We start from the raw sequence: 25,310 nt of genomic DNA on the forward strand, positions 1-25,310 counted from the left end.
AATACAAAAATTAGCTGGGCGTGGTGGCATGCACCTGTAATCCCACCTACTCAGGAGGCTGAGGCATAAGAATCGCTTGAAGCCAGGAGGCAGAGGTTGCAGTGAGCCGAGATTACACCACTGCACTCCAGCCTGGGCGACAGAGTGAGACTCCATCTCAAAAAAAAAAAAAAAAAAAAAACCAAAAACAAGGAAAACCAGAAATGAAACAGACATAAAATGGTAAGTGGGGATAAAATCCTTGGATTTCCAAGCTATCAGGATGGGAAGTTGGCATAGGCTACCATTGGTTTGGCTCTTATGGGCTCTCAGGAACAAAATGTTCACCATGAAAAATGGAGAATAAAAGCCAGTGTCATTGGTTAGAGCCAAGAGGTAGGATGGGTCAAGGAAGGTTGAAAAGCCATTGCCAAAAAATTCCTGAAGCTATACATTATGGTATGTTGCAGGCCTATGAAGGCTGGAGGACACAGAAACAACATCCAGAATATGTACTGGGCTCTGTAGCCAACAGACTTAATGTAGTCATCTGTACTATTTCCAGTACCATGCTGGGTCAGAAGCCCAAATCATTACTATACAACCTGATTCTAGACCATGTCCAGGGTCTAGGAAATGGACATAAGTAGAGAAAGGAATGAAAAGGAAGACATTTTCAAAAAGTGTCATTCAACATAAAACTGTTTAAGATGCTTGCAGAGATGAATTTAGAAGTTATACCCACCAAAGATAGTAAGTTATGAAATAAAAAAAGACTGAAATAAAGTAAGAATGGATCCATATAAATATAGCCAACCAGAAATTTTAGAAATGAAACTTATTAATTGTAATAAAACCTCAATAGATAGTATAAACTTCAATCTGGAAGCTAATGAAGACTAAATTAGTAAATTGGTATGTAACTATGGAATTATATATGGACACGTGGATATTTACTCTATTATTTAGGTTATAATTCAATTCTATCATTTATTTTGTTGTTCAGTAAACCCTTTCAACAACCCTTATTTTGTTGTTCAGTAAACCCTGTTTGTTCAGAATAACCCTTTGTTGTTCAGTAAACCCTTTTATCTGAGATAAAGGAAGATTTTTAAGATCTGCCCAATAACTGAACAAAAAGATACAAATTACGAAAGAGTATTTAAAGATGTTATCTACTGTGATAAACCACACTGAAACTTAAAGGCATAGAACAGACATATTATGCTCAGGGACTCCATGGATCAGGGATTCAGACAAGACCCAATGAGGATGAATTGTCTCTGCTCTGTGATGCCTGAGGCCTCAGGTAGAAAGACTCAAAGGCTGAGAGTGACATAGTGGCAGTGAGCTAGTATCATTTGGAGGTGACCTCTCTTCCATGATTGATGCTGGCAGTGAACCATAATACCTGTCTATGTGGCCTGGGCTTCTTTAAAACATGGTAGCTGGGTTACAACAGCAAGTATCACTTTCACCACACTTTCCATTGGTCAAGCAGTCACAGAGACCAAATTCAAGATAAGGGGACATATGTCCTACCTCTTGAATAAAGGAGTGGTAAAGAATTTGGAGAAAAGTTTTTAAAGCTGCCACAGGAGACATGGAAGATAGATGGAAAAACTCTAATATAGGTCCCAGAGACATTCCAGAAGAAGAATTGAGGAAATGGCAGAGAAGAGACATATATTGATTCTGGTTCTTGCCAAGACGGCAGAGTAGCATGGGTTACAGATACTGCAAGAGCAGTCATGGAGGAACCATATATTGAAACATTATACAACTTATGTGGTTGGGTGGTTGGCTTATGCCTGTAATTCTAGCACTCTGGGAGGCTGAGGCAGGTGGATCACATGAGGCCAGGAGTTCGAGACCAGCCTGGCCAACGTGGCAAAACGTCATCTCTACTAAAAATACAAAAATTAGCCAGGTGTGGTGGTACATACCTGTAATCCCAGCTACTCAGGAGGCTGAGGTATGAGAATCACTTGAACCCGGGAGGTGGAGGTTGCAGTGAGCTGAGCTGAGACTGTGCCACTGAATTCCAGTGTAGGTGACAGAGCAAGACTCTGTTTCAAAAAAGAGAGAGAGAGAGAGAGACAGAGAACTTAGGAACTTAGGAAATAATGAAAAAACCCTAAGAAGCTTTTGAGGAGGATGGAGTCTGTTTAATACTGGTGTGTTAAGGCTTAGTGGTGGCTGCAGCCTGGGAAGGAGGGTAAGCCATCATGTTTGTGGTATGATATATTTAAAATAAATCTCCTATTCCCACCTTTGGACAGTGATTTCCTGCCTTCTCACTGGAAGTAAGTGGCAACAGTTCAGATTGCGGGTATAGTTTTCATCACAGGTAACAGTCAAGGCAATTTAAAAAATCTGCTTGGGTCAAAAATTTATATTAATTAACTGTATACTGACTAGCCTTGGACATTCACCCTCCCCTTCCCCTCACCTCAAATCCCATTGTTGGTGAATTATAATTTACAGTAACTCTTTCATGTAATGCTTTTTTTCTGGAAAAAGGTGAATGGAAGGTAAAATCCAAACCTGAAGAATTGTTTGATTAGGGGGCTATGAGACAGTAGTGATTAACTGGAATTCCCTGGCATTTAGGAAATTCCACCATAGACTGCACCCTCTCCATTCTTCTCTATCTCATCTTGGTTGACAAGGACTAGATCTAGTCCATGTCTCTTCTTCATACACATTATCAGAAAGAATAGTTGATAATATTGGCTCAAAATAAGTAGGTATATTTGAAAGTAAACCTACTTAGGTATAGTAGGTATATTTGAAAACATATGTACTTAAAAAGCAAAATAAACTTATACTGTTAATATCAGAACTGAGATATTATTACTGTAGAACCAAGAATTTAAAAGTAAGCATAACAAACTTATGAAAATAAGCTATACAAAAGAAGAACTATAAATAGTTTAAAGAATAAGGTGAAAATAGTATGCATAAAACTATAATTATTTAAGCAAAGTATATAATAGATGAGATAATAGAAAGGATAAAGCTGAAGAACTACTTAGTGAGTTAGAAGATCACATTGAAAAATTCTCTCAGAAGGAAGTAGGGAAAGAAAAATAATTAGAAGATATATAATTAAAGTTAAGAGATATAGAGGCTAAAAGAAGTAGCAATGCATAAAAATTGGTGTCCCAGAAGAACAGAAATATAAAAATGGAGAGAATGGTTTTTGAAGAAATTACAGAAACAAATGTCTAAGAATTAAAGAATAATGAAAGAAGGCCTCTGATTGGAAGGCTTGCAGAGTAGTAAACAAGACAAAGCCATGCCTAGACAAATTGTGGTGAAATTTATGCATAATAATGACAAAGAGAAAGAACACATTACATAAAATGAAACACGATGAAACTGACAACAGACTTCTCACTAGCAGCACTGGATGCAAGCAATACATGGTATTGGTTCTTGGAAAAGACTAACAAAATAGAAAAAAAAGCTGATGGCTGTGTGCCATTAACATCCAAGAGAACTACTGGGAAATTTCAGGGCTATGTGGCAAATACTCAGCCAATTTATTGTGTGGATATTTTCAGACATATGTTATTTTTCTTACACTTCTTCATGTGAAGGATGCTAGAGGAAAATTTCCTAGAACTGGTCATGTTGTCACTACTTGCCTTATGCTGGAGCACTTCCTGAAACACATTTCACCTCTTTTAGGATCATAATCCCAGCATTCTGGGATCAAAGGAAAAATGCCTTGCAGATATTACACAAATAAATTTAAGACATAGGTAAGAAAAAGAAAGTTAGCATGGGTCTTAATAAGTTAGTAGTAACCACCAGAAAAATATAAATAGAATGCATGACTTTCCAGTTAGCAGAACAAAATCTTATCTAGCCAGTAGGAATCAGGAAAGGGGTTAAAAACAATAAAGAAATATTGAAATGTGATGGCAGAGATATGTGCTAAAATAACAGTAACTAAAATAAACATACATAAGCTCACCCATCAGGAGTTAGAGAATTTTAGTTTGAATTAAAAATCAAGCCCTAGAAATGTGGAGCCTATAAGAAACAGATTCACGACAGTTGTTATAAAGAAAGGTTAAATGTAAATGGATGAGAAAAGAATTACATCCAAATATTAATCCAATAAAATATAGAATAATTTTAATAATATAAAAGACAAGTACAAAAAGAAATATAAATCAATAAGATATAATGATCATGAAAATATATACACTCAATAATGGAGCCTCAAGATACATAAAGGAACAACCAAAAATGCTGAAAGAAATAGATAATCAGCAACTAACATGGAATTTTTAATACACTACATTGAGAAACATCAAAGACAAGTAAAATTAAGGAACATTTGAAAATCATAATTGATGTGCAGCAATATATTAAGAAATAATTCATCACAAGAACAAAAAATACATTCTTTTTGAGCACACAATAGAATAATCTTAAAAAATGGCTGAATACTAGTCTAGAAAGAAAGTGTCAAGAAATCTAGGTAAATCAAAGCAGATATATCTATCAAAATGCAAAAATATTTTTAAATAATTACCAAAAAATTTCTTTAAACATATCCTATTTTACTGGAACCTAAATAGCAAATTATTAAGTAATATTTGAGTTAAAGAGGAAATCTTAAAGAAAAGTACAATGTTCTTGGAACTTAACAACAGTGAAAATATAACTGGCCCACATTTTTGGGGCAGAGAAAAAGAATTTAGATGGAAGTTTTTTATTTTAAATGCATGTGTGAGAAAAAAAAAAGAAATATTTAAAGCAAATGAGTTCAAACATTTTTAAAAAGTAATAAGCGAACTCAAAGAGGAAAGCGGATGTAATAAAGATAAGGGCAGAAATCAATTAAAGTATAAATAAAGAATAGAGTGGCCAGGCGCGGTGGCTCACGCCTGTAATCCCAGCACTTTGGGGTGAGGAGATGGAGACCATCCTGGCTAAGGAGGTCAGGAGATGGAGACCATCCTGGCTAACACGGTGAAACCCCGTCTCTACGAAACATACAAAGAAAATTAGCTGGGCGTGGTGGTGGGTACCTGTAGTCCCAGCTACTCAAGAGGCTGAGGCAGGAGAATGGCATGAACCTGGGAGCGGAGGTTGCAGTGAGCCGAGATCGCGCCACTGCACTCCAGCGTGCGGGACAGAGCAAGACTCCGTCTCAAAAAAAAAGAAAAAAAAAAAAAAGAATAGAAATTAGCCAAAGCAAATGAACTTATTTTGAAATATGTATATATATTTCAAATGTAATATATATTATATTATATATGTATATATAAAATAGATTATCTATGTATATATAAAGTATACTTATATATGTATATATAAAACAGAAAAATTAGAGGAAGGCTGTCCAAAAAAGGAAAAGGTACAATAACTTAAAACACAGAATAAAAAAGAAGTAACTATAAAGACTATAAAAAATAAATAAGATGAGTGAAAAGCTAAGTGCTTAGATAAATTTATATGAAAATAGAAATGACAAATTGGTACAAATGTCATAAAATTTTTGAATAGATAATAATTATTAAAATAATGGAAATGGTAATCACAGACCTGACACCCCCCCAAAAAAGAACTAGTCTGGATGGTTTTATAGTTTATCAAACTTCCAATAAACTGTTAATAGTAATAGAAAAAAATAAAGTTGAACACTTATATATAATAGATACATATGGAAACATTTATCTTTAAAAAGACTATATATCAAAAGTCTACTGTAAACATTATACTTAACGAGGAAACCTTAGAAACAGTCTCAATAAGATTAGGATGAAGAAAAGAATACCTACCAGAACCACTACTTCTCAGCAGAGTAAACAGACCCTGGCCACTACTACAAAACTTGAAAGAGGCTTAAGCAGTATAAGGTGTAGAAGAGACAAGATAAAAGTATTGGTATTTGCAGATGAAATAATCATCTATGAAGAAAAATCACTAAAATCTAGCACCTTTGCTAAAGTCATCTTTCTGAAGACTTTATCAAAGGTCCTACATATGGTATCAACCAAGGGTGGAAAAAAGTGTTCCTCCATACCAGTAATAACCAACTAGAAAATACTATATAGGAAATGATTAAACAACAGCCAAAAAGTACATATTATAAAGCGAAAAGATTTATATATTTACTTCAATATTTATGATTTCTGCTCAAAGATGGGCAAAATAAAAAAATAAGAGGCAGATGGCATAATGCAGAAAATATTTCCAATGTCTAAAACCAACAAAAGATTGACATTTAGAACTCACAAAGAACCCATGCAAATAAATATTTAAAAGATAGTCAGTGCTATAGAAAATAGAAAAGAGCATAGGAAGAAATGCCCAAACTCATGAGTAATCACATACATACAAATTAAAAATAAAATCACTTTTATATTCAGCAAAATGAAAAAGAAATACAAAGCTAGAAAACATCAAGTGTTGGCAAGGATGTGAGCTAATGACAACTTATACACATCTGAAGGAAATAGCTACTAGTACAGTAACTTTGGAAAGCATTCTAGAGGTATTTAATGAAAATAAATGTATGTATTTATCCAGATTCTGTATAAATATATCAAAGAACTTCTTACACTGATTTGTAAGGAAACATATACAATGAGTCTATCATGGCCTTGTTTGTAATAGCTGGGTACTGAGTTAAATGTAGCCGTCCAACAACAGGAAAAATAAAGAGTAAAATGGTAATGGTAATGTACACTATTGAATGTCACACAGAGGTCATATGCAACAAACTTGATGTTCAAAAACAATGTGACTAGATCTCAAAAACACAATTCGAGTTTTTTAAAAAGCTAGAAATGGAATAAGAAACTGAAAATGAGTACCCGGGTATTGACCATATTTTACAGGGACAAAAACAACAAAGCAATATTTTGTAAGCATAAACATACATTTAAAGACACATATTAAACATATAGGCTAAGAATGTAAATAGAGAAACAGGAGTGCTGAAAGTTAGGGGAAAATGAAGTAATAAAATAAGGGGATTCCTGCACAGACCAAAGTTGATAATGTACTCTAAACTAAGAAATACAATTAACCATCTGCATCTGGGATTAAAAAGAAAAAGAATGTGTTACTTCCAAACAAGTGGAATAAAAAAGAAAGAAAACTTAATCCAGTAAAAAGCAGGAAAGTAGAGAAAAAGCCCCAGAAGATTGAAATTACAAAACAGTATTAGAAAAATAAATCCAAATTTATCAGTAATCACAATAAGGACAAACAGTTTGTTGTATGTATGTATGTATGTATGTATGTATGTATGTATGTATTTATAGAGAAAGGGTCTTTTTATGTTCCCCAAGCTGGTCTTGACCTCCTGGCCTCAAGCAATACTCAGTCTCCCAAGTTCATTTATGAAAAGACAAAAACATCACATTGGATTAAAAATAATACAGCTAAATGCTTTTTACAAATGACATAACTAAAACTTTAAAACACTGTTTATCAGTTTTCTGCTTACTGTTTTAAAAAACTACTACAAATGTAGCAGCTTAAAACACCACATATGTATTATCTTACAGTTATGTAGGTCAGAAGTCTGACACAAGTCTCACAGGTCTAAAAACAACGTGTCTGCAATACTACATTCCTTTCTGGAGGTTTTAGAAAAGAGTCTCTTTTCTTGCTTTTCCAGCTTCTGGAGAACTCCTTCCTTCATCTTCAAAGCCACGAATGTTGCATCTCTCTATACCTTTCTTTCATATTCACATATCCACCTCACTCTGTCCCTTTCCTCTCTAGCCTCTCTTCCAATCTTAATGACCCTTGGGATTACATTGCACCTAGAAGGACAATTTAGGAAAATCTCCCTATTTTAAGGTCAGTTGATTAGTAACCTTAATTCCATGCACAACCTTAATTCCCTTTGCCATGTAACATAACATTCACAAGGTCCAAGGATTAGGATGGAGATATCTTTGAGGGCTATTATTCTGCCCATCACCCAGTAAAATGAAAGCAAAGACATGGAAAACATACATGTACAATACTAAATATGAATACCAGTTATCAGAATATCAATATCTGAAAACCTGTATGAATATCAGAAAAAAAGTCCTAATGGCAAAAAGCATTATAGGACAATTCTGCAACTGAATGTATCTAATATAACCTCAAAATTTATAAAGCAAACAGCATTTTTTTTTTGAGATGCTGTCTTGCTCTGTTGCCCAGGCTGGAGTGCAGTGGGGCCATCTTGGCTCACTGCAACCTCCGCCTCCCAGGTTCAAGGGATTCTCCTGCCTCAGCCTCCTGAGTAGCTGGGATTACAGGTGCTCGCCACCACACCTGGCTAATTTTTGCATTTTTAGTAGAGATGGGGTTTTGCCATGTCAGTCAGGCTGGTCTCGAACTCCTGACCACAGGTGATCCATCCATCTCAGCCTCCCAAAGTGCTGGGATTATAAGTGTTAAGCCACTGCGCCTGGCAAACAGATTTAAAATAAAAATTGGTGAGTCCATAATCATATGTGGGGTTTTAAACATACCTGTTCCTGTATTTGATAGATGAACCAAATAGAAAATAGCTAGGAAATCCAAATTTGGATTTGAAGAATTCAAGGAATGGGCTTGATCTAAAAGATACATATAGGGAGAGAACCCTATGCTCTATAGCTTAAATATCCCCATTATTTTAAAATACACATAAAATTTTTAAATAAGATGACAACATATTAGATCATAAAACAAATCTAACAGACACCAATAATTTATATTATAAGAACAACATCTTTTTTTCTTTCTTTCTTTTTTTTTTTTTTTGAGACAAAGTCTCACTCTGTCGCCCAGGCTGGAGTTCAGTGGCGCGATCTTAGCTCACTGCAACCTCCACTTCCTGGGTTCAAGCGATTCTCCTGCCTCAGCCTCTCGAGTAGCTGGGATTACAGGCATGAGCCAGGACACCCGGCTATTTTTAGTAGAGACAGGGTTTCACCATGTTGGCCAGGCTGGTCTCGAACTCCTGACCTCAAGTAATCCGCCTGCCTCGGCCTTCCAAAGTGTCGGGATTACAGATGTGAGCCATCACACCCGGCAAAGGTAACATCTTTTGACCTCAATTTAATTAAATTAGAAATCAATAATTAAAAATCATAAACCCCCCATGTAAGGTTTTAAAGCTTAAACTTGAAGAAAATAGTTTATAATGAAAATCTGAAAATATTTCCTGAGTGATAATGAAAATGCTACATACCAAAACTTGGAAGATGCAACTAAAGTGCTACTTAGAAATACGTACTGTTAAATGCTTATATTATAAAGGAATCTTTATATAAGTAATCATGGCTGAAGCAGGGCTTATGCCTGTAATTCCAACACTTTGGGAGGCTGAGGAGGGCAGATGGCTTGAGCCCAGGAGTTCGAGACTAGCCTGAACAACATGGCAGATCTCTGGCTCTACAAAAGGTATGAAAATTATCCAGGCATGGTGGTGCATGTCTATAGTACCAGCTATTCTGGAGGCTAAGGTGGGAGGATGGAGTGAGTCCAGGAGGTTAAGGCTGCAGCAAGTTGTGATCATGCCATTGCACTCCAGACTAGGTGACAGAGGAAGACCCTGTCTCAAAAAAAAAAAAAAGATAATTATCTGATTGAGAAAAGAAAAAAAGGCATAAGTAAATAATATTTGGCACAGACAAAACTAAAGATATAGCAGAGATTGGGCTGGGCACAGTGGCTCATGCCTTTAATCCCAGCACTTTGGGAGGCTGAGGCGGGCAGATCATGAGGTCAGGAGTTCGAGACCAGCCTGGCCAACATGGTGAAACTCCATCTCTACTAAAAGTACAAAAATTAGCTGAGCATGGTGGTGCGCGCCTATAATCCCAGCTACTCAGGAGGCTGAGGCAGGAAAATCACTTGAAACCAGAAGGCAGAGGTTGTAGTGAGCTGAGATGGCGCCATTGCACTCCAGCCTGGTTAACAAGAGTGAAACTCTGTCTCTCAAAAAAAAAAAAAAAAGATATAGCAGAGATTAACAATTCAAAAGAAAAACCTATGAACAACTCTATGAGAATGAATATCCTGGAAAAACTGGTTGAAGAAAAATAGTAAAATTGAATAGACTTAATCCAATTAAAATAATTGAATCAGTAGTTAAGTATGTACCACACACATTTCCAGGGAGGAGAGTGGGCTCAAAAGGTTTCTGTCTTTTTTTTTTTTTTTTAAAGACAGAGTCTCACTCTCGTCCAGGCTGGAGGCAGTGGTGCCATCTCGGCTCACTGCAACCTCTGCCTCCTGGGTTCAAACAATTCTCCTGCCTCAGCCTCCTGAGTAGCTGGGATTACAGGCACATGCCACCAGGCCTGGCCAATTTTTTTTGTATTTTTAGTAGAGACAGGGTTTCACCATGTGGGCCAGGCTGGTCTTGAACTCAAGTGATCCACCTGCCTCAGCCTCCCAAAGTGCTGGGATTACAGGCATGAACCACCATTCCCAGCCTCAAAAGATTTCTCCAGCAAGGTGTGGTAGCTCACCCTGTAATCCCAGCACTTTGGAAGGCCAAGGTGGGAGGATTGTTTGAGGTTAGGAGTTCAAGACTTGCCTGGGCTGCACAGTCAGACTCCCTATCTCTACAAAAAAAAATTTTTTTTTATTAGCCAGGTATGGTGGTACACACCTGTAGTCCTAGCTGTCCAACATGGTGAAACCCCATCTCTACTAAAAATACAAAAATTAGCCAGGTATGAAGGTGTGCACCTGTAATCCCAGCTACTCAGGAGGCTGAGGCACAAGAATCACTTGAACCCGGGAGGTGGAGGTTGCAGTGAGCCGAGATCACACCACTGCACTCCAGCCTGGGCAACAGAGCCAGACCCCGTCTCAAAAATAAAAATAAAAATAATAAAAATAAAAGTTGTATCATTTATAATAGTATTCAAAATACAAAGGATCCTGGGAATAACACTAGTAAAAGATGTGTGGCCTCCAAAAATAAAAATGTAAAACGTTATTTAAAAATTGTATCATTTATAATAGTATTCAAAATATGAAGGATCCTGGGAATAATACTAGTAAAAGATGTGTGTGGCTTCCAAAAATAAAAATGTAAAACTTTTTAAAGAAAATTTAAAATTCTTGAATAAGTTGAGACATATAAGACATGTAAGGATTAAAGACTTTATATCAATTCTCCCTGAATTTATCTATAGATTCTGTGCTGTCACAATCAAATCCCAACAGGTATTTTTGTTGTTGGTGGTGGTCACATGTTGCCATGTTCAACAAGACTAAATTACACTAAATACTTGGAACTGCAAAGGACCAATAGCCAAGGCACCCTTGAATACGAAGAACAAAGTGAGAGGACTTGCCATTCCAAATATAAAAGTTTATTTAAATAAAGCTGCAGTAATTAATACAGTGTGGTACTGGTGGAGGAATAGAAAAATGAACTAATTTAGAGCCCCTAAAATAAACTAACATACATATGGACAGAGAGCACAGCTATGGGGAAAAGGCAGCATTCCCTTAAATGGGTGCTGGGACAATTAAGTATCCATATAAAAAATAAAATTTGGGTCCCTAATTCATACCATACAAAAGAATCAATTTTAGGCTATTTAGAAATCTGAAAGTGGGAAACAAAATGCAAACACTTAGAAGATAATATTGGACATCTATTCATGACTTTGGGGAAGAATGTTTTAAACAGGACACAAAAGCACAAATCAAGGAAAAGACTGATAAATTTCACTACCTTAAAAGTAAAAACTAGTCATCACAGAACACCATAAAAAGAGTGAAAAGAAAAGCCTCAGTTTGGAAAATGATATTTGTACCATGTATAAACCACAAAGTTCTAGTATTCAAAGCCTATAAATGGTATCTACAAATCAATAATAAAAAGGCACACAACCTAATAAAAAGCGTCAAAAGTCTTAAAGAGGAAATCCAAGTGGTGTGGTTGATAAACATATGAAAGTTCTCAAATTCTTTAGTAACAGGAAAATGCATATTTTAACCAACATGAACTACACACCCGGATTGGCAACTATTAAAAGAACAAGGGTTACAGAGCACATGAAACAAAAGCAGCTCTCATGCACTGCTAGTGTAAGTGTAAACTGGCTGAAAACAAAAATAAAAACACAGGAACACAGTCTGGCTTCATCTCATCAAGAAGAAGAAATGCAGATATAATACTGTAATTAAACTTCTAGACGGAGCACCTCTGAAACTGAGTAGATGTCAACAAGATGAAATATATAAGGATATCTGAGCCAGGTGCAGGGGCTCACGCCTATAAACACTGTGGGAGGACAAGGCAGGAGGATCGCTTGAGGCCAGGAGTTCAAAACCAGCCTGGGCAATATAGGAAGACCCTGTCAGAAAGAAAAGAAAGGGAGGGAGGGAGGGAAGAAAGGAAGGAAGGAAGGAAGGGGAAAAAGAGGGAGAAAGAAAGAGAGAAAAAAGAAAGAGAGAAAAGAAAAAGAAAAGGAAGAAAAACGAGAGGAGAAGAAAAGGAAAAGAAAGGAAGGAAAGAAGGGAGGGAGGGAGGGAGGGAAGGAGGGAGGGAAAATCCAGGCATAGCAGTGCATGCCTGTAGTCCTAGCTACTTAGGAGTCTGAGTTAGGAGGATTGCTTGAGCCCAAGAGGTCCAGGCTGCAATGAGCTATGATTGCATTGATGCACTCCAGCCTGGGCAAGAGTGAGACCCGGTCTCAATATATATATATATATAAAACCTCTTTGTAAAGGGGGAAATAATATATTTTCAGGAGCCTTGAATACATCAACGTTTTATTTTCTAAAAGACCTGGAACAAGTAAAGCAGGCATTAAAATTTCATAAAGCTGAACAGTGGTTAGGCTAGTCATTGTTGTATTATTTTCTCTATGTATTTTATGTTTTTTTAAAAAACTCTACCAACACATAATCAGTTTTACGGACATTTTCTTGACTTGACTGAAATAAGGTTTTTTGACATTGCCTACAGGTTTCCCAACAGCCAGATTTCTTAGTCAAAATGCTTGCCTGTTAAAAAAAAAATAGTACTTTAAAATAAAACAAATGTAAGTTGGAAACTTTTAAATTGAATAGGTGATTTATGCATAGAACCTTTTATATATGGCCAACAAAGGTACCATTGTAGGAACTATGGCTTTCTGCGTTAATGTGAATTGATCATAGAATGAATCACTCCTCACTCAATTTTAATTAAATCAAAAATTACATAAAAAATGCAAAGTTTTAAAATCCACCTTATAAGCAAAATAATTTAATTTTAAAACTATAATAAACCCTAGAACTCATCTATACTATATTGGATCTAAGGAACCTTTTCAGGTATTCACTGAGAATTCCTCTCCAGGGTTAAATAAATGTACTGATGTCACCTATTAACCTCAAACTGAAATTATACTGATTGATCTGAATTTAACTGCATCTCTTTGAACACACTGATCATGAGTTATTAGGGAATTCATCCATTTGCTAAATCTTATCATTTCAATTTAAAGTGCACACTAAGTGAACTTGCTCACATTTCACTAATTTCAATGAACTCTCTGAGATTACTGGACAGGAGAAAGAAGAAATCCTATCAAAGGCTAATTCGTTCCTTAAATTTCACACACAGGTCTTATGAAATAATTGTATATTTTCTTCCAAAGGCCCACATAGAAAAACATACATAAATCCAGCAGTCTATCAATAAATCCACTGAATTCACTGTAAACTACATAAACACATTGACATCTGTTAAGTTGCCAAATGCAATTTACAACATTTAAAAGTCACCCAGGATCTCAGTTTTAAGAATTAAATATTACTTGTAAAACACGCCATAGTGTTAATGTGTAGGATTCACTGATCTATATGTAAATGCAATATGCTTTCAGTACAAAATTTTGTGTGAATTTGATCCTAATTGCCAGAGATTTGATTGATCTAATTATATATAAATTTGAAAGGAATTTGAAAATTTAGTCTTGAAAATAAAATCCACAAATATACATTGCCACCTCCAGTCACTAAATACATGAGGAACCATAAAGGAACTTCTAATTTCCCTCTAAAATTAACTTTCCCTGAACTTGCTATTTATATAAACAAATAGAAAAATAAAATTTAATACAAATAGAGAAAAAATGTCTTGCAAAACATCCAAATTTGAACTCAGTGAAGTACTAGGACTTCAGTGACATTTGGTTGAAGCCTTTGCACTACCAGTGAACCCCGTAAAAACACATTTTCTCTAGTGCGTATACAAATTGGAGTTTCCCTTCTTCCTGACATTTCAGTTAACACTGCACTTCTTTGACCTCAAAATAGTTTCAGAGTGAAATATCCCTTGGCCTTAGGAGAATATGAGAAAAGCCTGTTCCTAAACATTAAACTTAATTAGAATTCATTGCTCCCTTAGTAAATAAGCAGACTTCTTTTTTAATCAAATGAGCTCTCAGAGAACTCAATATAAAACCTCTTGACATATTAGTCAATTGGACTTTCATTGACCTCTCAACATTTCTAAATTGGGCTTCCATTCACCCCCCTTTTTTTCCTAGAAAAATCATAAAAAATACCACTATTGTGAATTTCAAGACGGTAGTTTTACAAACATAAGAAAGCCTCATAATACTTTAAGGCCAATGGGGTGGCTCACCCTGTAATCCCAGCAGTTTGGGAGGCCTAGGTGGGTGGATCCCTTGAGAACAGGAGTTGGGGAACAGAGCGAGACCATGTCTCAAATTAATAAAAAAAATTTTTTGGAACAACTAAGCGGTAATAGAAAACCCCAGAATACTCAAAAGGCACACAGTCACAAATCTGTTTAATTAGATTATGCTTCATAAGCCCTGCAAAATCTTAAAAACCTCTATTTTGCCTCCAAATAAAACCTTTATTCATCTCACATAACAAGATATGAAGGAAAAAATTCAACTGATCTTCAATTGAATATTTGTCAATCTTAAATTGTGACTGACAAGGTGGCTTGAATTTTTTCTCTATATATTTGCATATTCAGTATGTGTGGCTTTATACAAGGGAAAACAGCAATACAATTTGAATAAGTAATGGAATAAAGGAACAGAAGAAGAAATTATACTGAACAGAATGTCAACATGCTTAATTAAAAGTGCTGTTTTTGTCCAAATATACCTGGATTCTCTTCCATGAATTTACATTTAAGTAATCAATACACACCAAGTATTATGCTAGTATCTGGAGAACCTGAAACGTATTTTACTTGACCAAATCTGAACCCTGATTATGTTTAATTAGGAGAGAGAAGTGGCACTGTCAGACAATACCTCATGTTAAAAAAAAATCAGCTCTAGAAAAAAGATGATTCTGAATTTACTTTAAGTAGGTATTTATTTTTAAATTGCTATTTCAATTTCTTGCTTTGGATGTCTTTTTAATATGGTCCTTTACATAATCTACCTAGTGAATTGAACCTATTCAGAAATATTTAATCTGCTTTTATCTTCAGTGTTAATAATTCTTACTCTACTATACTATTCTGCACTTCGTATTCACTAAATAAACTTGAATTAACTCCCACTTGTGTTGATTTATACAGTTCAATTGTAGCTATTTGTACTTGCTTCTTTATGGAAGACCATCTATATAAACAAATATATACACACAAATACTTCTGTAAATAAAACCCACCCTACTCCCTAAAATACCTTCTGATTGTGATATTATAGTGTATAGTTTAGGGGAAAATTATCTTCTTTTTATCTTAATAATCCAGTTTCCCTTTGTACATGGTTACATTCACTGGTGAGTTGCCAACTGAGCACTTCTTGTGTACTCAGTCACCTGACCTTACTCTATGCTGAAAATGGAGGGCCGGGCGCGGTGGCTCACGCCTGTAATCCCAGCACTTTGGGAGGCCGAGGCGGGTGGATCACGAGGTCAGGAGATCGAGACCATCCTGGCTAACAAGGTGAAACCCCGTCTCTACTAAAAATACAAAAAATTAGCCGGGCGCGGTGGCAGGCGCCTGTAGTCCCAGCTACTCGGGAGGCTGAGGCAGGAGAATGGCGTGAACCCGGGAAGCGGAGCTTGCAGTGAGCCGAGATTGCGCCACTGCAGTCCGCAGTCCGGCCTGGGCGACAGAGCGAGACTCCGTCTCAAAAAAAAAAAAAAAAAAAAAAAAAAAAAAGAAAATGGAGAAAGAATCAATGCAAAGTAGAAAACTGGGAGAAGCAGAGAGAATCCAAAAGAGAATGAAAAGCTGAGGAAAGAGTAGTTTGCTCTACCTACGCAAACTACTTTCCATAATTATTACTCAGAAAAATAATTTTCTGTACCAGCAGTTCAGCAAGTACACCTTCTTGAAAGTTTTCTGTTAAAACTTTCAATTAACCTGAACCAGCCTCAGGATAATTCTTCCTAGACGCTCCAGCCTGTCTGTTCAAACTACCCAGATTTACTCTTACTTTTTTCTCCAACCTGTGCCTATGCAGACAAACGCACCAGTTCTCAACATCTGGTTTTTTACCTTGCTGCTCCATATCACATGAAACACACGTAATACTTCCACTTCAGAAGCCAGAATTAGTATACTTTCAGATGTAACTAGCACAATCAGCCCACGTATAGTTACTAACCTACCCTTGCAAAGTAACCTACAGAAATAAATTAACTGGGTTGTGTAATTTCCTAACTCGTAGTATTTTAATTCCATTCACAAAACTGCCTCAAATTACACTTTATATATGGAAGGAGGACTCCATTCTCAAATGTATGCATTTTAAAACGATCTTTATGCCACTTGAAGTTTAATCCCTATTCATGCCTTTTTTTTTTCTTAACATGATCAAAACGCTGTGATTCCAGCAAGCGAAAGAGCATTCAGATCAGCTGATGAGTGCACTGCAAAACAGTCGCAGCTATCCCATCCCCAGAATGTGCCAGAAATAGTAAAGAAATGTTCCAGCGGGGCGCGGTGCTCATGCCTGTAATCCCAGCACTTTGGGAGGCCGAGGCGGGCGGATCACAAGGTCAAGAGATCCAGATCATTCTGGCCAACATGGTGAAACCCCGTCTCTACTAAAAATACAAAAATTAGCTGGGCGTGGTGGCGCCCGCCTGTAGGTAATCCCAGCTACTCGGGTGACTGAAACAGGAGAATCGCTTGAACCCAGTAGGCGGGGGCTGCAGTGAGCCGAGATCGCGCCGCTGCACTCCAGCCTGGCGACAGAGCGAGACTCCATCTCAAAAAAAAAAGAATAATTAGAAGAAATGTTCCAGCCTAAAGGGGGGAAAAATCCTAATAAAATCTTCACAAATCCCTTTCCCTTCTTTTCATCCTCTTTCAGTTCGACTTTGCTTACACAAGAAACAGCTGCCTCCCCTTGCGGAAGTCGGAAGCCAAGCGCATTTCAAAACAGCTTCTGTGGCCGCAATTTTTCTCAGGCTCTTACAGAATAGATTTCAAAACAGTTTTAATTAATTCAACAAAAAGTTCAGCTAAACTTAGGTATCAATTGGTCGCTCAGTTAGTGCAGTACGCAGAAAGACAAGAAAGTCCGCGGAATCCGCTAAGACCGAGACTACCTGAAGTCGCTGTGGCTAGCACTTCCGGTACCGGCCCTAAAAGCGGTCCTACCAGAAGGAAGAGGAAGTGAGTCCAGTAGACTGCCCAGGATTCCTGGAGTAGCTCCTTATAGAACAGGGTTTCTCTCCTGGATGTATAATTTAGGAGATGGGAATTTTTACAGCCTCCGAAATTACGCGTCGGCTCCAACAGATGTCTAACTGTGCGGACGAGGGTGACAGCCAGTGTTTTTTTGTTTTTTTGTTTGTTTTGTTTTGTTTTTTTTGGGACAGGGTCTCGCTCTGTCTCCCAGGCTGGAGTGCAGTGGTGCGATCTCGGCTCCCTGCAGCCTCCGCCTCTTGGGTTCAAACGGTTCTCCAGCCTCAACCTCCCGAGTAGCTGGGATTAAAGGCGCCCGCCACCACGGCCCGGCTAATTTTTGTATTTTTAGTAGAGACGGGGTTTCACCCTATTGGTCAGGCTGGTCTCGAACTCCCGACCTCAGGGGATCCACCCGCCTCGGCCTCCCAAAGTGCTGGGATTACAGGCGTGAGCCACCGCGCCCGGCCTCCAGGCTTCTTAACTGCCATTAGTTGCAGCAACTCTGAAATGAGAATGAAAACCTTTATGAATTTAATACATGCTAGCACTGTATTTCTTCCTTTAATTTGAAGGTGACTCAAAAAAGCTCTTTTCCTACTAGCGTGGAAAATTCACATTGCAAGGAGCTACTTCCCTCTTCTGGTCCCAAGTACTATTTCCCCCTTTAGGAAGTTAGGAACAAATTTGGTCCTCACTGAAAATCTGGATGGGGGAATGTATATATTAAGACTTCAGTGTCGGCCGGCAGTGGCTCATGCCTATAATCCCAGCACTTTGGGAGTCGGAGGCGGGTGGAACATGAGGTCAGGAGTTCAAGACCAGCCTGGCCAAGATGGTGAAACCCTGCCTCTACTAAAAATACAAAAATTAGCTGGGCGCGGTGGCAGGTGCCTGTAATCCCAACTACTTGGGAAACTAAGGCAGGAGAATCGCTTGAGCTCGGGGGGCGGAGGTTGCAGTGAGCTGAGATCACGCCACTGCACTCCAGCCTGAGCGGCAAAGTGAGACTCTGTCTCAAAAAAAAAAAAAAAAAAAAAAAAAAAGACTTCAGTGTTTAGAGAAATCCACTATATTGTGCATGCTGTTCTCTCTGCATGAATTGCTGTTTCGCTCCTTCTTTGCCTATCTATCCTTGCCATTTATTCAGGGAAGCCTTTTTTGACTGCTCTGACTGGATAAAAATCTATTATAGGCTTTTATAGGTTCTCAGAGCCACCAGATCACTTATTTGTAGTATGTAGCCAAATTTCAGTCTTTCATCCATTTGTGGGATGATTTGATTAAAGTATTTCTTCCCCATCAGATCATGCTTCCTGAGGGTAGGGATAGTGTTTGGTTTTACTTACAGTTTGTATTCCTCAGAGATGATCTCAGTTTCTTGGAGTAGACCCTCAATACAATTTTGTTAAATAAATGGATGTTAGTAAACACTGATATTTCTACAGGGAGACCAGAGACTATGAGTATAGATTACTGCAAAACCTAAATAGGGTTGAAATTTAAGAGTTTGTAAATAAAAATTCAGAAGTAGGAAAGTGATACTCTTTATCAGATCTCTGTGGACCATATTTCTATAAATAAAATATAGTCTTTTTATCAGTTAATATCTAAGTCTGAGACTGAACTATGGTGATATTTAAATGAAAGAGGAAATAAAAATGAATAAATAAGAGTCCCTGTCATCCAATTACTAAAAGTCTGGTGGGAGGATATTAGTCGGCTTCATTCAACACAACCTGCCTTTCATTCCAAAATTCATATTCCTTGGGAAAAAAAGCAGAGTATTGTTCAGAACATGCTTGTCACATTATACTCCAGTAATCTTTATTATTTTGGGAAGGAAAAAATATGAATGTCACATCAGATTTAGTCACTTAACAAAGGAACCATTATGCTCCATGGAATACCATGCTGTCATGGCGCTTATAGTATCCTGGGAAAGACTATGTATCTAACATATATACATATGTGTGTAGAGATATATACCCTACTAGTGGAGTCAGAGAAGGCCTCATTGAGAGAGCTGGCATTTAAACTAGAATGCAAAGGAAAGCAAGGGCTAACCAACATGGGGATACAGAGAGAACATCACACGAAAAAAAAGGAAGACTAGAAGGAATTTGGAAATCTTGGAGAATAGATAGGTCAGTGTGGCTGGAAGTCACTTATTAAGGAGAGGACTTTTAAAAATGAAGCCAGAAAAGTAGGCAGGGGCTGGGTCATTGCCAGATCTTTTAGTCCATACTGAGGATTTTAAACTTTATTATTGAAGCAATGAAAACTCACTGCAGATATTTCAGCTGCAGAGTGACAGAATTTTACTTTGATTTTTACAAGGTCATTCTGACTGGTCTGTGGAGAACTGGCTGAGTGGGTTTGAAAAAGACAAGAGACATATTTATAAGAGTCCAGTGAGCAAATGAAGATATTCCAGGTAAGGGTGTTGTAAGTGGGTTCAAATAGAAATGGAATAATTTGTCATAATAATTTGAAGAGAAAATACACCAAACTTGATGATGGGTTAGACAGGGTGGTGAAAGAGATGGAGATGTCAAAGATACTTCTGATCACCATCTTCAGAAGCCTAAAGATCTTCCTTTTTAGGCTTTAGAAATTAAATCCTTCATTCTCCCCTCAAAAGTGGCAAAACATATGACATTCATTATGATAGTACAGTATGGAAGGTGCATCCTGAATCTTGAAAGAATCTACCATATATGGGATCCTTAAGAAACTTAGGTCATAGCAGTTCTTTGAGAAACATCCCATTGTCAACTGTGGAAAAGTAAAAAAGTTTTGAGACTCGCTAGCGTACTCACAACATGAATATGACATTCAAGATAGACTTCTTAGTTTAAAAGAATTAGATAGATTCATGGCAGGGCTACCAAACCATGTAGAATGGAGACCAGTATGAAAAAAAAATATTTTAGGCCATGTGCAGTTGTTCATGCCTGTAATCCCAGCACTTTGGGAGGCTGAGGCAGGAGGATCACGTGAGGTCAGGAGTCCGAGACCAGCCTGGCCAACATGGTGAAACCCTGTCTCTACTAAAAATACAAAAATTAGCCTGGTGTGATGGCAGACACCTGTAATCCCAGCTACTTGGGAGGCTGAGACACAAGAATCGCTTGAACCTGGGAGATGGAGGTTGCAGTGAGCCGAGATTGTGCCACTGCACTTGAGCCTGGGCAATAGAGTGAGACCCTGTCTCAAAAAAAAAAAAGAAAAATATATATTTTAATATGTCTCTCTACATCTTTGATCTCATTGTCTCTTAAGAATTTATTGCCCATTTCACAGATGAAGAAATTGAGTCTTGTAGAAATTGGGTATTGTATTAGTATAAAGAACACATTATACATTTTATAAATGAAGAATCGTAATAAGGTCAGGGAGGTTAAAGGGTCTTCCCACTATGGCACACTTAGTATGTAGCAATTGCTATATTAAAATTCCATGAAACAGAAGATAGAACAAGAAAAGAAAGTGTATAGGGGAAACAAAATTAAGAAGCCTTAATATATAAAGGATAAATAAGGAGTCCCCAAAGGGATTGAAAAGGAATGGGTAGAGAGAAAAAATTTCAAAAGAGGGTGCTGTCACAGGAGTCAGAAGAGAGTGTTTCAAGAAGGAGGGAATAGTGGACTATGTTTAATGTTACTGAAAGTTCAAATGAGAAGAGAATGAAAGTATCTACTGAATTTGGCATTATGGAAGTGAATTAATGAACACTTTTAGTGTCGAATTGTAAAAGTTTAAGGAGAGACTGAGGAATTGAGGAAGTATTGTCAGTACGTGTATAAAATCTTTTCAAGAAGCTTGAATATTTAAGAAATTAATAGAAATGAGATGGTAGCTGAAAAGAAGTGTGGGATCCTGGTAAGTTTGTTTTTGTTTCGTTTTGTTTTGTTTTTTTGAGACAGTCTCACTCTGTTGCCCAGGCTGGAGTGCAGTGGCATGGTCTCAGCTAACTGCAACCTCTGCCTCCTGGGTTCAAGCAATTCTCATGCCTCAGCCTTCCGAGTAGCCGGGATTACAGGCGCGCCACCACGCCCAGCTGATTTTTTGTATTTTTAGTAGAGACAGGGTTTCACCTTGTTGCCCAGGCAAGTTTTGAACTCTTGAGCTCAGGCAGTTCGCCCACCTAAGCCTCCCAAAGTGCTAGGATTATAGGTGTGAGCCACTGTGCCCAGCTTCTGGCAAGATTTTTGAGGTGGATGATAAGATCAAATAATTCATTGAAAAGAGAGAGTTTGAATATGCAGGAATGAAAATAATTCATATTCAACAAGGGTGAAACTGTGAGTGAAATTCTCATAACTTATGCTATGCTTAAAGGTTCTAGATTTTTGCATAAATAAGAATGTGCTGCATGTTCCATTGAGGTAAGGGAGAAGGATAATAGAGTGCAGTGTAGGAGTCATTTAGACTTATATTTGTTTGTAGGAGTAAACCAGACAATGTAGAGAAGTTCTTGCTTTCATAGTATTACACTAATAATAGTAAACATTTATGAAGTACCATGATGTTCCATGCTCTGAGCTGAGCATTTCATAAGCGCTGTTTCTTTTTCTTTTCTTTTCTTTTCTTTTTTCTTTCTTTCTTTCTTTCTTTTTTTTTTTTTTTTTTTGCGATGGAATCTCGCTCTGCCACCAGCCTGGAGTGCAGCGGCTTGATCTCAGCTCCCTGCAATCTCGGCCTCCTGGGTATAAGTGATTCCCCCCTGCCTCAGCCTCCTGAGTAGCTGGGACTACAGGTGCGCACCACCACACCTGGCTAATTTTTTGTATTTTAGTAGAGACAGGGTTTCACCATGTTGGCCAGGACGGTCTGAATCTCCTGATCTCATGATCCGCTCACCTCACCCTCCCAAAGTGCTGGGATTACAGGTGTGAGCCACCGCGCCTGGCCTGCACTGTTTCATTTGATTGTCACAACTTCATGAAGGAGATAACACTATTATATCCATAATTTTTTTCAGATGAGAAAGCAGAAGTTTGGAGAGATTAAATACTTTTCCTAATTTAATGTATGTGAAGAAGCAGAGCCAGGACTTGAATATGACTCTTAACATCATAAAGTCTTTTTTTTTTTTTTTTTTTTTGTGACAGTCTTGCTCTGTTCCCCAGGCTGAAGTGCAGTGGTGCGATCTCAGCTCACCGAAGCCTTCTGCCTTCTGGGTTCCAGCGATTCTCCTGCCTCAGCCTCCTGGGTAGCTGGGATTACAGGCGCATGCCACCACACCTTGCTAATTTTTGTATTTTTAGTAGAGACGGGGTTTCACCACGTTGGCCAGGCTGGTCTCAAACTCCTGATCTCAGGTGATCCGCCCACCTTGGCCTCCCAACGTGCTGGGATTACAGGCGTGAGACACCGTGCCCAGCCAACATCATAAAGTCTTAATCACCACTTTAAATATTTCCTTAAGATATTGTTAACTCAAGCTGCAGGATTTTCCTTTAAACTGGAGATGTGAGCCAAGTTCAAAGAGAAAAAAGAGGCCTATCCCTATCCTTTTTTTTTTTTTGAGACAGAATCTTGCTGTGTTGGCCAGGCTGGAGTGTAGTGGCATGATCTCGGCTCACTGCAACCTCCATCTCCTGGGTTCAAGCAGTTCTCCTTCCTCAGCCTCCCAAGTAGCTGGGACTACAAGCATGAGCCACCATATGCAGCTGTTTTGTATTTTTAGTAGAGACGGGGTTTCACCATGTGGGCCAGGCTGGTTTCGAACTCCTGACCTCAAGTGATCTGTCCGCCTTGGCCTCCCAAAGTGCTGGGATTACAGGCGTGAGCCACCACGCCCGGCCCTATCCCTAGTCTTTTAGTTGTCATCCCTTGACACTTCATACAGGGCTCTGTGATGTTGACTGACTGAAAGACTGCAACCCCGCTATGGGCCACGATGTTCATTCACATCATTCGAGAAAAATCTTATTTCCTGCAAAATCAGAAATACTTCATCTGCAGTAGAAAATCATTTCAATGGGTTTGTGTTTAAGTTGGTACCATAAAATTAAACTTAGCTTAAACCTCACCTCCTCTGAGACTCTTCCTGATACCTCACTTCTGTTCTTAAATATCCCTTTTTAGTACCTGATAGTGCCTATGCAAATCACCGAGTCACCTTTTTAATATTCTAACCTCCTGCGGTGTAGGCACCAGACTTTACTCAACTTTATATCCCCAATGTCTTTTACAGTGCTTGAATATAATCTGTGTGTAAAAAATACCTGCGAAGAATTAATCAGTTCAATGAATTTATGGCCAAATGACTGGCTTGATTGAAATGAAAGAAATCCAATTCGGTTCCTCTCAAAGGAAATCTCACAGCTGATATTATGATAATAAACAACCATTGTTTTTGTTCACATTAAGTAAACTAAATATTGGAGAAGTAATTAAAACTCAAGAGGTGAGAATTCCGCCCCTAGATGTGAATATGAACAGATTTTGACAGTTTCCGCAGGAAAGCGCTGTACAGCCCAGGTTTTCAGTTCGGACGCCTGGTGGCACTACAGGCTAAAAAGTAGGAGGAGGAGGAGCCCTGCATTTGCCTGCAGACTCCATCTTAGAAAAGACAAAATCTGAAAGGTGCTGGGAACAGATACGAGTTGGAAAACGTCCGCAGCGAGCTCAGATTTTAGAGCTTTCTTCAAACGAATGGGGACTACACAAATGTTTGGAAGTCTTACAGGATTTCCGAAGACTTCATTTACTAAAGGCAATGCACTCAGAGGATATACAGGAAATTGTGCGAGAAAAAAATCTGGCAGAAAACGCAGGTGGTGGGTTTTCATTTTCTTCCCGGGTGTAGCGCAGGCGGCCCAGGAAAAGGAAAACTGCTTTTTTATGGTCAGGGTTTCTGGAGATTGGCGCTGGCGGCGGAAAGGGGAGCGGCGGGAGGACAGACTGGAGCAGGATAGTTTCCAAAGAGACCAAATAATATTTCAGATCGACCCACAGAAGAGTCCTTGCTCTCAAGTAGAAAATCGGACCTATAGGAGCCCTGCATTTCCAAGAATTACCTGTATTTAAAAAAAAAAAAAATTTGTCTTTTGAGAAAAATCTGTGTCTGAGGTGTAACCGTTTCCTCCTTTGAAAAATTCTTCTGAATGTTCCAGAATGTGCACCAGGAACATGTATGAGGTTTGGGTAAATTTTCCATCATTGGAAACTACACACTCATTTTCAATTTCCATGTTCACAATAATGTGCTGTGCAATATTGGGGTAAGTAATTTGTCCATACGCGTGAAAAAAATCGCTGGATGAACCACAGCCCAAGGTAAGTTTAACTCTCCCAGAGAAGAATGGTAGATATCTGAGACCTCCTAAGTCCAAGTCATGACAATCAATGACAATCTTTGAGATGCAGGTCTCACAGCAACCGGCTGAAGATTTAGTCTGAGTAAATAATTATGAATCGGCTCTCAGAATTCTCCAGGCTCACTGAATTCTGCAACCTCTGGAGAGCATTTTAAATGCTAGCAGAACATTTTAAATACCACTGATACCCCATGCATCATAAGCATCCACTGCAAGAGAATTACCAGGAAATTTCAGTGCCACGTGGCAAATACTCAGGCAATTACAAGCAGAAATAGTTTCAGAAATTGTTTCTTCATGTGAAGGACGGTGGAAGACCATGCCATTGGATGACAATCACATAGAATTGGTCATGTTGACACTTATCTGCCTCATCCTGGAGCACT

General features: G+C 38.1%; 1 long non-coding RNA gene and 1 further gene across 1 annotated transcript in view; one reads left to right on the top strand and one right to left on the bottom strand.

Moving 5' to 3' along the window:
* Positions 1 to 17,546, bottom strand: part of PCDHB1-AS1 (PCDHB1 antisense RNA 1) — a 31,827-nt gene extending 14,281 nt beyond the window's left edge. Inside the window, exon 1 of the long non-coding RNA NR_105056.2 lies at positions 17,292 to 17,546. This is a non-coding gene — a long non-coding RNA (PCDHB1 antisense RNA 1). The remainder of the gene's footprint in view (positions 1 to 17,291) is intronic.
* The window catches only part of PCDHB@ (protocadherin beta cluster), a 197,972-nt gene that overhangs the window by 9,092 nt on the left and 163,570 nt on the right, over positions 1 to 25,310 (top strand).

Source organism: Homo sapiens, chromosome 5 (assembly GCF_000001405.40).
Source record: "Homo sapiens chromosome 5, GRCh38.p14 Primary Assembly".
Classification (NCBI taxonomy): Eukaryota; Metazoa; Chordata; class Mammalia; order Primates; family Hominidae; genus Homo; species Homo sapiens.